This window comes from Homo sapiens, chromosome 1 (genome assembly GCF_000001405.40).
Source record: "Homo sapiens chromosome 1, GRCh38.p14 Primary Assembly".
Lineage (NCBI taxonomy): Eukaryota > Metazoa > Chordata > Mammalia > Primates > Hominidae > Homo > Homo sapiens.
In genome coordinates this window covers 2,018,313-2,033,800 of record NC_000001.11, presented here as the reverse complement: position 1 = coordinate 2,033,800, position 15,488 = coordinate 2,018,313, and the positions used below count along the sequence as shown (strand labels likewise).

The 15,488-nt window shown below is 62.7% G+C and overlaps 1 protein-coding gene across 3 annotated transcripts, besides 2 other annotated features; it reads right to left on the bottom strand.

Moving 5' to 3' along the window:
• Positions 3,043 to 14,456, bottom strand: GABRD (gamma-aminobutyric acid type A receptor subunit delta). Of its 3 annotated transcripts, none has more exons than NM_000815.5 (9): positions 14,310 to 14,456; positions 8,747 to 8,859; positions 8,400 to 8,467; positions 8,063 to 8,283; positions 6,142 to 6,224; positions 5,509 to 5,646; positions 4,535 to 4,690; positions 4,039 to 4,250; positions 3,043 to 3,818 (listed from the first exon to the last, which is right to left on the bottom strand). In NM_000815.5, the coding sequence occupies exons 1-9, from the start codon at positions 14,375 to 14,377 to the stop codon at positions 3,519 to 3,521; spliced, it is 1,359 nt and encodes a 452-aa protein (NP_000806.2). In that variant the 5' UTR covers positions 14,378 to 14,456; the 3' UTR covers positions 3,043 to 3,518. The 3 variants fall into 3 exon arrangements, with proteins under 3 accessions (NP_000806.2, XP_011539496.1, XP_016856425.1); XM_011541194.4 differs by lacking the exon at positions 14,310 to 14,456 and adding an exon at positions 9,997 to 13,942; XM_017000936.2 differs by lacking the exon at positions 14,310 to 14,456 and having other exon boundaries at positions 8,747 to 13,941.
• Positions 14,284 to 14,861: an enhancer, noted in NCBI's record as "H3K4me1 hESC enhancer chr1:1950379-1950956 (GRCh37/hg19 assembly coordinates)". NCBI's record gives its function as "activates a minimal SCP1, AML or CMV promoter by ChIP-STARR-seq in primed H9 embryonic stem cells {active_cell/tissue: H9 hESC(primed)}" and the evidence as "EXISTENCE:reporter gene assay evidence [ECO:0000049][PMID:30033119]".
• Positions 14,862 to 15,440: an enhancer, noted in NCBI's record as "H3K4me1 hESC enhancer chr1:1949800-1950378 (GRCh37/hg19 assembly coordinates)". NCBI's record gives its function as "activates a minimal SCP1, AML or CMV promoter by ChIP-STARR-seq in naive and primed H9 embryonic stem cells {active_cell/tissue: H9 hESC(naive and primed)}" and the evidence as "EXISTENCE:reporter gene assay evidence [ECO:0000049][PMID:30033119]".

The window sequence follows — 15,488 nt, the reverse complement described above, 5'->3', positions numbered from 1 at the left end:
TGCCTGAGAAGAAGAGGAGAGACAGAGACAGCAGAATGACTCAGAGACGGAGGCAGAGACTGGGGCAGTGCACCTGCCAGGCCAGGAGGGCCAGAGGTTCCTGGCAACTCCAGAAGCAGGAGGGAGGCCGGGGGAGGGTCCTCCCTGGAGCTGCCAGAGGGAACCAGCCCTGCAGCGTCTTGATTTTGGACATTCGGCTCCAGAGAGAACAGATTCTGTCACTCTAAGGCACCTGGTTTGTGGTACTTTGTTTAGGCAGCGGAGACCCCCAGCCCCAAATAAACTCCCAGCACCCAAGTCCTTGTCTCAGGCTCTGTTTGTAGGGGAACCCACATGAGGACGCCCCTAGGTGTGAGCTCCGCTTGGCCTATGCACCCGCCTGCCTCGCTGGAGGGGAGGGGCAGGGTAACGGCCGGTGCCTGCCCCAACTCTGCCACGGGACGGAGAAGCTGGATGCTGTCCCCAACGTCCTGGCCCCTCTTGCTCCACCTGCGGCCTCCAGCCTCAGGGAAGAGTGGGCCCAACTCTCAGAGGGCACTCAGGGGTCACTGCTCATGGTACACAGTCCAGCCTTCCACGGAGACCAGGAAGCCACCAGCCCCCAAAGACTTGTCTCTGCTGGGATGGGGGTGTACGGAGCCCTGGCAGCCTCTCTGCCCACCAATCTCTGCTGCAGGTGCCCCCTGTTGCGGGCAACACTGGCATCCCCTCCCCAAACAGGTTCCTCTCAGCTGCAAACTCTGACCCACCCCCGCCTTCATCTGCTCCTGCCCTCACTACCAGAATAGAAGTCGCGTTTGAAAGCATGCGCCCTCCCGTCCCTCCTGGCCCTGTAAATATGTGGGCAGAAACAGCAGCCTGCTTGTGGGGGGGGTGATTGCTGGTTGCAGAATCAGGCACGGCTGCTGCCCGGGCGGGCCTGGCTGCGTGGGTGCCCGAGGCAGTTGCAAAGGCTGGCTTTAAATAGCTCCTGGTGGGTACAAGCCTGGGAAAGAGGGCACCCTGCGGCCGCAAGGAGGACAAGGCAGAGATGGGGCCAGGGTCCTCACAGCAGAGAGCGGGGTGGGGGGTGGCTCAACAGCCTCCAGGTCCAGGAGATGCCCCCAAATAGTTCCCAGAATCTTGAACCAACCCCCTTCCCCCAAAGGCCCAGGAGTTGGAGCCAACCCTCCCTGGCTGCCCTGGGTGGAAGGCCCGCCCTTGGGGCAGGAGCCTGGGGGCCTGGGGTGGGTAGTGGTGGCAGCCTGGGACCCAGCCCATAGCTATAGCGTGCGCCATCTGCGGCCTGGGCCCCTATCCCCAGAGCAAGGTGAGCTCCAGGGAGGAGGGAGCGGTAACCCTGCAGGGAGGCCCAGGAAGCAGAGGGTAGGAGGCGGGACAGTGAGAGCCGGCCCTGCAGGGGTGTCTCTGTCCTTGGACAGGGAGCTGGCAGGCTCAGCCGCCTCGCCTTGGTGTCGGGAGGTGGCCTGGAGCCCCAGCTGACCCAGATCCGGCTCTGCTGCTCCCCGGCCACCTGCTCTCTGCTTGCCCCAGGGCTCACTTCTGTTCTGTGTGCCGCTTGTGGCCACAACAGAGCCTGGTCCGTCCCACCCCCTCCATCCCCAGCCTGTCCCACCCCCAGGACGACCCTGCCAAGCCTCACAGCCTTGTCCTGCAGAGCAGGGGCGCAAAAGGGCAGCCTGGAAATGAGGAGTGGTTGTTAGGAAGTGGCGTGGGGGACCTTCCAGCAGGGGCCAGAGGTGGAACACGGGGCTGTGGTCTGGGCCATGGTGGGCAGTGCCCTCATCTGCTCTCGGGCACAGCCTGGCCCTTGGGGAAGCAGCTTGGCCTGTGTCCATCCCCAGGTGCAATGCCTGGGCCCCAGTGATGACTTGATTTCTCGGCTTGCTCAGCCTGCCAGGGCTGCCACAGGCCGTGCTGAGGACAGGTGATTCACACAGTCATCCCCGGGTCCCCAGTGGTATGGAGATGGGGGCCACCCAGGGCTAGCGGCCACCCTGATTCCACAGGGCACTGGCCTGGACGACTTTGCCACCTTGCGAGCTGCCGTGTGATGGCTCTGGATGCCTGGGTCCCGCAGCGGATGGCAGTGCCCCGGATGCCTGGGTCCCGCAGAGGATGGCAGCGCCCCAGATGCCTGGGTCCTGCAGAGGATGGTAGCGCCCCAGACACCTGGGTCCTGCAGCGGATGGCAGAGCCCCAGCAGCTGTTCCAACTGCTCCCTTCAGATTCTTCCACGAGTAATGACCCAGTGCCCTGTGAAACCTGGACCCCTCATTAAGAGCTGCCTGTCAGCTGCTCTGACGGCCGGGGGGGTCCTTGGGCTGCAGGGTGGTCTCCCCATGTCCGTGGCAGTGGCAGCAGGTGGGAAAGGGCTGTGGTGTTTGTGAGGCCTCGGTGGCCTCCATGTGTCTATCCTCACATCCAAGAGGGGACCATGGTGGCACCTAGCCCTGGACACCCACTGGACCAAAGGCCTCAGGGACCAAGGGAGTGGCAGCTCCTCTAGCCCCCTCCAGGCCTCTGCACCTCAGCCCTCCCTCAGTACCCCAGACATGGCTCATCTGGGATCCAGCCCCTGAGCCCCTGTGTCCCCAAGTCTCTGTTCCCAAGTCTAGTGTTGAGCCCCAGGATCTCAGGAAGACACTTCAAAAGCTCCCGGCTTTGGGACAGTGACCCTGAGCTCACTCCCTCACACTGTCGGCGCAGGATCTTGCCTCACGCCCCTGGAGAAAATGGCCTCATCACAGCGCGGGGACATAGATGAGGAGACCCAGTGCCTGAAGCCAGCATCACAAAAACTGGTTCATCACTTCCTGAAGCTCTTCCCTCGAAGCCTGCCCTGCTGACAAGGACAGCCTCCTTCCCAGGACCTCGACCCACTGTTTCCCCTGGGCAAGGTGTATGTTCAACCCTGAGTGTTCTCTGCACTTTCACAATCAGCTCCCACCCAAACACCGCCCAGGGAGCCTGCAGCTGGAGAAGGGTGTTCCGGGCAGCTGGGGTGGGCTCCAGGCACCCCAGGAGTGAAGCGCAGCACAGTGAGGGAGAATGAAGCGGCCCCCAGGCCAAGGCTTTATTTCATGCTGGGACCAGAAAGACCTCACAAACGCCTTCACTGTTCACCGGATGGACGTCCACCCCCACCTCCTCCCACGCTCTGATCCCGATCCTGCAGAGCAAAGACCTAGAAACCAGGATCACTTTCTGAACATAAAAATCCGCGGCTCCCTGAAGGGCCCAGACCCCGGCCTGGCTCAGCCTCTCGGTCAGAACCTCTGCTCCTTCATCTGTGCAGGTCTCGGGCTGCCTGCCGGAGAGCCCCAGGCTGGCCTTTCGGGTGAGGCTGGGGTCAGAGCTCAGGGAGGCCGAGGCTTCCTCTTGTTTTCCGTGGCCGACTGTCATCCCACTTCGAAACACGCAGAGGGGAAGGCAGCCCGAGGGCTCTTTCTCCCAGGAAGTTTCTGGGCAGCTGCCGCCGGGCGCCAGGACAAGCGAGGGTGGCCTGAGTCCTGTGCTCACATGGCGTATGCCGCCCAGTAGATGACATTGACGGCCGCAAACGCCGCAGGGAACACAGCGCGGGCGTAAATGTCAATGGTGTCTGCGTCGATGGGCCTGAGCCGGGCACGGATGCCCCCCTGGCCTCCTGAGCGGGCTGCCCCCTCCTTCTTCGTCTCCCCTGTCTCCACCCCCACCGACCTGTAGGAGCCCATCAGGTTCCCCGGGACGCGGCGCTGCCGGCGGGAGATGGCCAGCTCCTGCGTGACGCCGGCAGCAGAGAGGGAGAAGAGGACAATGGCGTTCCTCACGTCCATCTGCACGAAGGCCGGTGGGGGAGACAGGGCTGAGCACTGGGGTGCAGCTCCCAGGGCCCTGGACCACAGGTGTTCCCATGCGGGGGCCCCGCCTGGACCAGCAGCTCCAGCCCCCCACGCTCAGGGAGCACAGCTGGGACCCACAGTGGGCTGGGGCAGCTGAAGGGTCCTGGTTGGGGCCCCCAGCAGTGCTGTCCCTGGCTCGGCCCCAGGCCCTCACCTCTGCCCTCGGCCTGGAGACCTTGACCTTGGCCTTCTGCTTCTTCCTGTAGTCGGCGTTGAAATGAGCAAAGGCGTACTCCACCAGGGCGGCAAACACGAAGACATAGCAGATCCAGAAGTAGACGTCCAGTGCCTTGATGGCTGATGCCCGTGGCAGGGAGGAGCGGGCACTGACCATGAGCGTGGTCATCGTCAGCACCGTGGTGATGCCTGCCGGGCACAGGTGGTGCCATTGTCGTAGCCCTGCCCTCACGCCGCCCCATCCCAGCCTTGATGCCTGTGACCCACGGATGAGGGTCCGCTGCCCCCCACCCCCATGCCCACCCCAGGGAGCAGGTCCTGTTTCCCTGACCTGGCCTGGCCCGGCTGGCCACTGCCCCAGGACAGCTGGCATGGTCCAGAGGCCAGTGCTGAGCCCCCAGCCGAGGGATGGGGAGTCCTGTTCCCCAGGGCCGCCCTTCCAGCTCCCTCGGAGCAGCGGCGAGGCCCCGTACCTAGAGACACCCTGGCGGGCACCGCCGCCTGGCTGATCCAGAAGGAGACCCAGGACATGGCGACCAGCAGGACGGAGGGCATGTAGGATTGGATGATGTACACGCCGCGGTTCCTCCGCAGGTGGAAGTGCAGGCTGAGCCGTGGGAACTGGCCAGCTGCCAGGACAGCCACCGTCAGTGCCCCCATCCCTGCCCAGCCCAGCCCAACCATGGGACTCAGGGGCTGCAGGGCTTGGCAGCTACGGGGCCCACCAGGGCTCAGAAGAGAGACTTAGACCCCTGCCCTCCCCACCAACCACATGGCCTGAAATGTCAGGGGGCCTCCGGCCCTAGGTCTGGCCACAGGACAGGCTGGTCCTGAGCAGTGTCACCCAGAGGAGAGGGAGAGAGGCTGAGGTTACTGCTGGCCTCATGTTTGCTGGACTGGCCCTGAGGGACCCTCGCAACCAATGGGGAGGGCTCACCCCTTTCTCTCCTAACACTCCTGCGGGCACAGCCAGGCTCTGGAAGGAGCCAGCACTGGGCTCACTGGCTCTGGATGACCGGGGACGGGGTGCGTAGGGGTGGGAAAGTGGGGCTGGGAGACAAGGTAGCCAAGGAAAGCTTGGCTCCTGAGCCCTGCAGACCTGGGGCTAAGAGAGCTCCCCACACCCTCTGGTTTCCCATAAATCTGGAGTGCTGGGAAGAGAGAAAGGACCAAGGAGTGAGATGGGAAGGCCTGACCCACGCCCACACAATGGCAGGCCTGGAAGCCCTGGTTCAGGTGCAGCTGGTGCCAATGAGCAAGTTCCTAAGGCAGCAGCGTCCCAGCTGCATCCCCAGAGGCCCTGGGGGCCTGCGGGCGCTTGACTAAAAAGCATGAAAACCACAGGCGGGCGCACGCGGAAGGGGCGGTGGGCGCGCGCGGAAGGGGCGGTGGGCGCGCGCGGAAGGGGCGGCGGGCACATGCGGAAGGGGCGGCGGGCATATGTTACCGGACTTGAAGTTCATCAGCTCCGTGGTGAAGCGGTAGCTGGTGATGGTGAACTGCGCCAGCTGCAGCTTGTCCAGCCCGTGGATGTGCTCCTGGCTCTCCGACCAGTAGTAGACGATGTCCTCCGATGAGTAACCGTCTGGAGGAAAAGCACACAGGTGGGCGGCAGAGCCCGGCCCTGCCCCGGGAGCCCTGGCAGGAGCGCTCCGTCCACACAGGAAGCCTGCAGGGGGCCGACGCCATCGTGATGGGGACCGAGCAGGACCCCAGCCAGGAGCGAGGAGACCTTCGGCTCTGGGACCACGTCGGGCTCCTCCGGGCAGGTGGATGGGACACAGATGGGGTCACCGTTGTCAGGTGACACACAGGGGCTGCTGCACTGGCTCAACAATATCAATCCGTGCCATGTCTGGGCTCCATGGCCCGGCTCCCCAGGCAGGGCACAGACCCACAAGCCAGACTGCTCCAGGCTTTCTGGCCCCTTCTCCTCCTGCCCAGGCTTCTTGCATGCAGAAGCTGGTTTGGTGCTTTCCTGCATCCTGAGCCGGGCCAGCCTTGTCCAGGCCCCGGGCTGACAGTCTGAGCCCCCATCCACTGCTGGAGAAGCCCCTACCCGCCTTGCACACCCACTCACAGCTCTCCAGGTCCAGCATGCACTCCTGCTCGTCCATGGGGTATTTGGCCAGGTCCATGTCGCAGGCCACAGTGGAGGTGATTCTGCCAAGACAAGCATGGCAGTGAGGCCTTGGGGGTGAGGCCAGCCCTCCCGAAAGCCTGGCAGTTCCCCTGCAGAGATGCCCCCTGAGCACCTGCCTGGAGCCCCAGCTACTTCTCAGACTGTGTTTGCCCAGAATCCAGGTAAACCTGGAAACTGCTCAACTTCATAGACGTCAAGTATTCCTTTAGGACCGTCAAGAACTGGATTTCATTCATTCTCTTCAAAACGCTTGACTATTGAACTAGGCTGGGGGCCTACGGGGCAGGGGACAGCCTTCACACCCAGGCCCTGGCCCGAGCGATGGCTGAGGAACACACGGGAATAGGCCCAGAGTTGCCACGCACTTGATTTTCTAGGAGAGGTCAAATATTTAAATTCCTATGTAAAATATCCCGATGTTTTTGTTTGTTTATGAGACAGGGTCTCACTCTGTCACCCAAGCTGGAGTGCAGTGGTGCAATCTTGACTCACTACAGCCTCAACCCCCCGGGGCTTGAGGTGGGTAATCCTCCCACCTCAGCCTCCCGAGTAGCTGAGACCACAGGTGCACACCACCAAGCCCAGCTAATGTTTTTTATTATTTTTGTAGAGGCAGGATCTCCCTATGTTGCCCAGGCTGGTCTCAAACTCCCAGGCTCAAGTATACTCTCACCTCAGCCTCCAAAAAGTGTTGGGGTTACAAGCGTGAGCCACTGCACCCGGCTGCCTCCTGATTTCTTTTTTTTGTTTGTTTTTTTTTTTTGAGATGGAGTCTCGCTCAGTCCCCAGGCTGGAGTGCAGTGGCGCAATCTCGGCTCACTGCAAGCTCTGCCTCCCGGGTTCACACCATTCTCCTGCCTCAGCCTCTTGAGTAGCTGGGACTACAGGCCCCCACCACCACGCCCAGCGAATCTTTTGTATTTTTAGTAGAGACGGGGTTTCACCATGTTGGCCAGGATGGTCTCGATCTCTTGACCTCGTGATCCACCCACCTCGGCCTCCCAAAGTGCTGGGATTACAGGCGTGAGCCACCGCATCCGGCCACATGCCTCCTGATTTTTTAAGTGTCATGAACTAATTCCATCTTTAAGAGGCATGTGTCTGAAAACAGGTTTTCAAACAAATGCGCGCACACACATTCATAGCAGTGTTTTCACATTCGCCAACGCCGGAAGCCACCCAAGCGCCCCTCGGCAGAGGGATGGGAGGCAGGTGTGGCGCGCCCCTGCCGTGGGCCATCGCCTAGGCCATGAAGAAGAAGGCGCCCCTGACTCCGGCTTCCACTGGGATGAACCGTGAGGACGTGATGCTGAGTAACGAAGCCGGAGTCATAAAGGGTCCCACACACAGCATGTGATTCCCTTTCGATGAAATGTTTCTGTCTCTGGGCAGACCCACAGAGACAGAAAGCAAGCGGGTGGCTGCTGGAGCTCCAGGGAGGGCGGAGTGGAGAGCACCTGCTCAGTGGCTGGGTCTCCTTTTGGGGTCTTGAAATGTTTTGGACCAGACAGAGGTGGGGTTGCACAACGTGGCGAATCTGCCAAATGCCACTGAATTGTTCACTTTAAAAAGGTTAATTTTATGTTATGTGAATTCCACCCCATTTTAAAAACCAAAAGGCACTGTGTTGGCCAAAAAGCCACATCTGCCGGCTTCCTGTCGGCGACCTTGGAGCGGATGTTTCCCCAGCAGCTGCGGGGGATATAAATAACCGCGCAGCTTCTGCCCCCCCCTCCGCCCGCCCGCCAGCTCCCGGCAGCAGAAGCCGCTCGAGCTTTTCCAAGCCTTGGAGCGTCCAGGCGCCGACGCTTGGCCCGGGCAGGCTCTCCCCCGGAGTCCGGGTGGGCAGCCCGCTCACCGGATGCTGTACAGGATCACGCCGTCGGGCTGCAGCCGGATGAGCTTGTTCTCCACCGTCACGTCGTGGAACCAGGCCGACTTGGCGTTCACGATGAAGGTGTCGGGCAGCCACAGCTTGTCCACGAAGCGGCTGTCCAGACCCAGGGTCTCGTTGGTGTGGTTGTAGGAGAGCCTGCTGTCCCGCCAGCTCTGGTGCAGGAACACCGTCATGGTGTACTCCTGTGGAGGTGGCACAGGGGCCGGGGGTCAGCCTTGCTCCACCCCCAGGGGCATGCAGCCCAGGGCAGAGGCTGTGGGCACCCACCGTGCCTGAGGCAGAGGCTGGTGGCACCTACCATGTTGGCCTCTGAGATGTGGTCGATGCTGGCCACCTCCAGGGCAAGGGCCACATTCACGGGGGGGCCTGCAAGGAAAGAGCAGAACTAAGAAGGACTGAGGCCGGCCCAGCATGGGAGCCACGATGGGACCCTGCCGGGGTCCCAGTCACAGGCAGTCGGCCATCATGGCCTGAGAAGCTGCACCTCCCTGGCTGTCTCTGTGGGGGCCTGGCTCTGATGGAGCCCCCCAGGGGAGAGCCAGGCTTCCTTGCCTAGAGGCCAGCCTACAGCCCAGTGGGCCACACAGCCACGGCCTAGCCTGGGCTCCAGCGGCTCCTGCCTGCCGGGCCTGGACCGCCCCTCACCTCCGATGCCAGGCCGGAAGTTGCGGGCGTAGCCGGCTATCAGCCCGTCCAGGTTGGGGAGCCAGGAGATCTCCAGGTTGGAGCCCACGTAGTCGCCGATGTCATTCATCGCTCTGGGGATGCAAAGCCACCGGTCAGACAGGCCAGGACTTAATTTAATTCCACTGAGCCTGGGTCCCTTCCTGGGGATGCAGCACTGTTCTGGGCACCTGGGCCAGGGCATGGGGGGCCACTGTGGGAGCCCTTGCAGGTGGGGGCCTGGCCAGTCCCCAAGCCTCTGGCTGGACACAGGGAACCCCGGGAGGTCCTCAGCCTCTTCCACTGGCCCTGACCTGGCTTCCTCCTCCGGCCTCAGTGCCCACTTAGCCCTCCTGGCTTTGAGGGAGGTGGCCCTGGGTTGGACAGAGCCCCCCAGCGTGGGCCAAGCTCCCAGGCTAACAGCCTCCCTCCTCAACCAGCCCGCGGAGGCCGGCCTCGGGTCTCCACCCCTGGGGTCCCTCACCAAAGAGGTCTCCCTGTCGGCTTCTGAGGGCGAAGCTTCCCCCATTAGACGGTTTGGAGAAGAGGAATGTGAGGAGGAGGCAAGGGGCAGGGACAGGAAGAGGACAGGGCCCCAAAACCCGGGCCCACAGCCTCCTACTCTCTGTCTCCTCCCAGGAAGGCCCAGGGTGGGCTCCAGATCCCCAAATGGCCATGTGCTTCTGTGGTTTAGCTCAACCTCGGAGCAGCTCGGGGTAGACAGCAGGGCCATGGGGACGCCCAGGCTTGAGGGAGGCATCTCCTCCCCATACACACCATGCTGCCAGAGCCCAGAGCACCCCAGCACCCCCCCGGCCCCCATCTGCTCACCTGCACTGGGTTGAACAGCGTCCCCCAAAATGCACATCCACCCAGAGCCTCAGAATGTGAGCTTATTTGGGAATAAGGTCTTTGCAGAGGTAATTAGTTAAGATGAGGCCATACTGGATTGGGTGGGCCCTAAACCCAAGGACTGGTGTCCTTAGAAGAGAAGAGGGAAGAAGCCTGGGGACAGAGGAGGCAGAGATTGGGGTGAGGCGTCCACAGGCCAGGGGAGGCCAGGGTTTCCAGCCACCGCCGGAGCTGGAGACAGGCCAGGGACGGAGGTTCCCTCAGAGCCTCCAGGGGAACGAGCCCCACCCACACCTTGATTTCAGGCTCCTGGCCTCCCGAGCTGCGAGAGAATAGGCGTCTGTTGTTTCAAGCCGTCCAGTTTGTGGTGATTGTCATACCTGTCCTCCTGCACACAGGATGGGGATTGGTCCCAGGGGTGGGGCCTTGAGATTAACCCCCCTGTATTCTCAGAATCATTTCTATCCAAGGGGGTGGCTTCAGACATGTCCTCCAGGTCGCCAGGCCCGAGCCTGGCCCGAGCCCTCCAGGAGAGTTGAGGGGCCGGGACCTGAGTCAGTGGCCTCCCCCACAGCAAGCCTAGAGACAGATTTGACCCCAGTTCAGATACAGCCTCAAGCGGGTGCCCTATGCTGGGCTACTCCACAGGCCACCAAGAGAAGAGCACAGTCCCAGGCCTCCTCCACGCCTGGCTCCCCAGGACGCAACTGACTGCCCCTCCCCTCCTCACGGTGGGGGCCACAGCCCTTGGCCTCCTGCTCCCTCAGAGACTGCGACCTGGGCTCGAGGCACCCCTCCACACTGCCTGTCTGGCACAGTCAAGCTGAGGCCGGGCCACCAGCCCCACCCCGTGCAGCACCCTCCCAGTGCCCCACACAGATCACCTGCAGCCTACTCTGCTTGTCTGTCTCTCCGGCTCCAGCCCTCTTGAGTCCTTGGATTCCCAAGGGAGAGGCAAGGGGCAGGGCACAGAGGTCTGGTGCCTCAGGCTAAGTCCAGCCGGGGAGCTGCATGAGCAGGTCCAAATCTTAAACCCGCAATTCCAGAGAAACACTGGGAAGGATGCTGGGAGGTGGACACTCTCCCTGCCTCTCCCTGCATCCAGCCTTGACTCTGCTCCATACACTTTATCCTCAGGTGCGTCCTGGGCCCCCTGAGGACCACCGGGGTTTGGGAGGCAGCAGCAGCGGGGTCGGGGGCTGAGGCCCTCTCCCTTTCCATCAGAACCACTTTTCTTCTTGTTTTACACACTGGCCTTTCAAAGATTTGGACTTTGAACCAAACGTTCCTTAGCTAACCAGATTCTGCCAACCCCAATCTGTCCTGGACGACTGTGGTGGCCCAACTCTGGCAGGAGCCAGCTGGAGGCAGCATCCAGGGCTGCTGTCCATCCAGACCCAGGACCCCGCGCCCACGGGACCCCCAGGAGTGGCCCGGCACAGGGCTAAGGAGGAGCAGGCACTTTGGTAACAAAGTATAAGATGGAATCAAATTAAGTCCCGGCCAATTAAAAATGCAAATGGCAGTTGCCTTGAAGGTCGGACGCAAAGGGCTCTAGTGAGGCTTTATTTTTGGACCAGCCCAGCTGCCATCTAGCCTGCCTGGAATGAGGCCACAGGAGACACCGTCCTTCCTGGGCCACATCTCTTGCCCATCTCAGGGTGGTGGCACATGTGGGGGGGCACGAAGGCAAGGCCAGGAGCAGCCCCCGCCACGAAGCTCACCTGGAGGCACCTTTGCCATCTCCTGGGGGCGAGAAGGAAGCAGGCTCCCACCCCCACGCCATTTCTCACCTAGGAGAGCCCCCGGTCGTTTTCCCACCGTGAACAGATGGGAAGGGCCAGAGTGCGGGGGCGTGCGCTTCATGCCAGACTCTGGGGTCTGGAGGGCCCCTCACTTCCTCAGGTCAGGATGTACAAGGGAGGCAGATCTAGCGGGGGCTGGGGGAACACAGCCTGCACCAGCGGAGATAGGCACAGGGTGGGGCTGTCCTGACTCTGGTATGTCACGGAGACCTCGGGAGAGGGCTGCTGCCTCACCTGGTGGCCCTGGGGCCCAGTGGTGGCCTGAGCTTGGGGTTTCCTGTGGGTGGATGGACAGAGAGGCTCAGGGCTACACACCAGGCTCCAAGTCTACACTCAGATTTAGGACTCCAAACTCAGGGGGCAGAGTGGGCACCATGAAGACATGGCAGCTTCCCCCTCGGGTGGCTCTCCATGGGTCACCTGGCCTCCTGCCCTCCTGGCCCCACTGAAAAACAAACCCATCCCTGTCACTTGTCTGCGCCCTGGGGACAGACAGGGAAGGTAGATGTAGCTGGGATCCTCCCCCTGCAGGCTTCTCCACGGCGCACACCCAGCCCACATATCCCACAGCCCTGCTTTTAGAGCAGCTCAAGCCTCCCAGCATTGCAGTTACCAAGGCGAAGAGGAGCACCGCCACCAGCGCACCGCGAGCTGGCACGGTAGGAGCCGCAGCACAGCTTCTCCAGGGAGACGGAGGTGCCGGCAGCCCGGGAGGGCCACCCACGCGGGCATGCAGTCGGCAAGCTCGGTGCCTGCCGCGTGCACGGGTCTTCACACTCCGGGCCGACCCACGGCCGCCACGCAGCACACTCCCTTCCTATCCCACCCAGCCTTTCCCATGAGGAGCTGCTGCAATGGGGACCTGGGGTAATGGCCAGAATGGGTCCCACTGACGTCCAATACAGCTCCAGGACAAGGACCCCGAGACTGAGGGAAGGGAGGGCGGCTGTCCTGGTTTCTGGAGTGTAGGGGCACAGATACAGAGAGGCCCTTCATGGACAGCACCCCGCTAAGTCTGAAGGTGGCCCCTAGGGCTGAGTTGGCAGGTGCTTCCACCCTGGGGAGACCCTCCAGGCCTGCCCCTAGACGCCAAGAGCAGGAGGTTGAGCCCAGCACATGTGTGTGGACAGGATGACCTCAAAGGAGAGGCTGCAGCATGCAGCCAGGTGGTAACTGTTTTTAACTAGAGAGCGAAAGGGGAGCTGAGCAAAGCAGTGCACCTCTCACCAGGCAAGGTGTCCTCCCCAACGGCACCCCTCTTCCAGGGATGGGAGTGACTGCAGGCCCAGAGGCCCCCCACTCCTGGCTGGGCCGTGGCCTTCCAGCTTTCCTGCCCAAGGAAACAGGCACAGAATCCCTTCCCCGTCAGCCCAGGAGCCAGATGCAGGCCAGGATTAAGGATCTTCAGATTTTAGAGCAGGGAAATGGTGGACACAGAGGCTGTGGCTGGGGGCGGCCTGAAGAATTTCCCAGCAGGAAGTGTATATAAATAATCCCAGAAGTAGGATTAATAAAGATGAGAAGAGTCTCACGTCCATGCGGGACGGGACTTGCTGCCAACTGAATTCTGGTGTCGAACTTGGGCTAAAACTTTGGGGTTTCAGAGCCGTCTGGATTTCAGCCTCTTGGCTAAGTGGCCGTGGGCCTGGGCTGGCAGCTGTCCCCATGGCTCCAGCACAGCATCCACAACTGTGCCCCGAGCTTCGTCCTTCCTCTCACCTTGAAGGAGGGGAAGGACAAAGGGAGAAAGGCCCACTGGGATTGATGGAAGAACAAAGCTCTTCCCAGGACACGGGCTGCTTAGAGCCAGGGGCAGTGCCGACCCCGCGGTCTCCTGATGGGCACACGGCTGCAGCTGGACCCAGGCCTTCTGGGCTCTGTCCCCCGCACCTCCAATGGGAAAACTCTGACACACCGCCCCGTGTTGGGTGCTGCCATCTCTACTACGGTCAGCCACCTCTATATCTACATCTTCACGGTCTCTGAGATCCTGAATGCTGGGGGATGGCTCTTTGCTGTTTCTTCTGCAGTCTTTGCACTGAGGTGATTTTCAAAGACGCCCCTAAATGTCCTCTCGTGACTCCTAGGGAAGGCGGCCAGCCAGGCCCCGTGGTGGGGCCAAGTTGCCTGGGTGGCTGAGGAGCCCATTTCAGATCCCCAGAGAGGAGATGGGGGGGCACTGTAGGCCAGAGGGGGCTCCAGCCCCGGGGGGCCTCCTTCTCAGCCTCTTCCTTCTCTGGGGAGTCCCTCCCAAAATAGTTAAGAAATCCACCATCTCTTTTCTGTGGCCAGGGGCACCTGGCCGCCGTCCACCTGCACACACTCAGGAGTTCTGCCCACGCCATTTGAAACGGACTCTGAAAGGAGACCCCGGAGGCCGGGCCCACCCTCCACAGCGAGACAGCCTCCTCCGTCCGTCCCAGACCCTCCGGCTGGGGAAGCTCACTGGGGGAACGGGGAACGGCTCCCCCGCAAAGGGAGCAGCCTCCCCGCACCGAGTTCTCAGGTCTTTCCTCTCCTCAAGGCACCCGCCGGGCAGGGACCCGCGAGTGCCGCGGACCCGGGGACCCTCCACGCGCGCCGCGGAGCAGGGGAACCGGGAGGCTCCGACGCCCTCGCCCAGCCCAGGTTCAGCACCAGGACGGCGGACAGCACCGGGCGGGGGCGGCCAGCGCGGGGGTCGCCGCGTCCCGAGCCCAAGGGCAGCGTCCGGGCGAGTCCAACGAGGGGCCCGCGGGGCAAGACCCCGGGGAGGGAGGACGCGGGGCTCTCAGACTTGGGGTCCGGGGCCCGGGGCTCGCGCCGGCCGCTCTCCCAGCCGCTATCTCGGGCCGACGCGGGCCCCCCACCGCCCCCGACCCCGCGCCGCGCGGACCCCGCCCGCTCACCTGGTGCCGCGGAGCTGCTGCGCGCAGAGGAGCAGGAGCGGGGCCAGCAGCCGGGCGGGCGCGTCCATGGCCGCGGCGGGCTCGGGACGGGGTCCGCGCAAACTTGGCTCCCGGCGGCCGCACAGGCGGCACAGGCGGGCGGGAGCTGAGCGAGCGCGGCGCGGGCGCGAGGGGGCGGACGGAGCGCGGAGCCCGCCCCGAGCCCGCCCCAGCCCGCCGCTCCCTGCAGCCCGGCCCCGCCCGCCGCTCCCCTCTCCTCCCCCCGCCCCCCGCCCCATCCCGCCCCCCTCCGCCAGCCGCGCCCCCTCCCTCGCGGGCAGCTCTCCCTGGCCGGGGTCTGGCTCTCCGGGACCGCTGCCCTCACGCGCCGCAGACGGGACCCTCCGGGTGTCTTCATGGGAGGCGACACCGGCACAAGCCCCGCGTGGACACTGTGGCCCACGGGCGCGGCAGAACCTCGTCCCGAGGCGGTTTGTGGGGGGTCGCACGTCTGCGTGGCTGCTTCTGGCTGCGCCGGCGGTGGGTGGGGAGGGGGCCAGTCCCTGCAGCTGTCAGGAGAGAGACCCCCACCAGCGGCTGCTTCCAAAACCCTCCTGCCTTCGCGGGAGCTGGGGCCAGGCGACTTTGGGAGCAAGTCCTGATCCCTGGGGACCCTCGACGGGGGCGGGGAGAGGAAAAGCAGGTGGGGGCTGCGCCGCAGGCCGCAGTTCTGACTCTCCACACCTCTCATGGCCCCAGGCCCGCCCTCCACACCCCTAGGATCTGGGAAAGGGAAGGCCTCACACTCTCCTGCCTTGGATCTTTTGAACATAAAGTTGCGCTGCCATTTCCTGAAGCTGCTCACAAACTTTAATCATTGTTGTGTCAGTTATTCACTTCTGGGCTCGCGATGTCGCTGACAGCACAGTGTCAACCCCTCGTGAAAACACTTAAAAATGGCGAAGCTGTCCCCGAGGCTGCGTGCTTCTGGATGAAGGGCCCTGGCCGCACAGGGGCAGGTGGAGGAAAGTGCAGAGAGGGATTTGCTTCGGAATTTCCAGCCCAATCCCTACTGTGGGAAGTGGAAGAATGAGGCTGGTTCCAGTTTGCTTGCTTTATTTATGTTATGTTATGTTATGTTATGTTATGTTATGTTATGTTATGTTATGTTATGTTATTTTTCGAGATGGAATCTGGCTC

Bases quoted from the DNA above. Each gene is read 5' to 3' on its own strand.
- GABRD (XM_017000936.2), bottom strand. From the start codon at position 9,632: ATGTGCATTTTGGGGGACGCTGTTCAACCCAGTGCAGGTGAGCAGATG. The intron at 8,468-8,746 runs GTGAGGGGCGGT...CTTTCCTTGCAG, and splicing joins CTTCCGGCCTGGCATCGGAG to GCCCCCCCGTGAATGTGGCC. The intron at 8,284-8,399 runs GTAGGTGCCACC...CCACCTCCACAG, and splicing joins ACATCTCAGAGGCCAACATG to GAGTACACCATGACGGTGTT.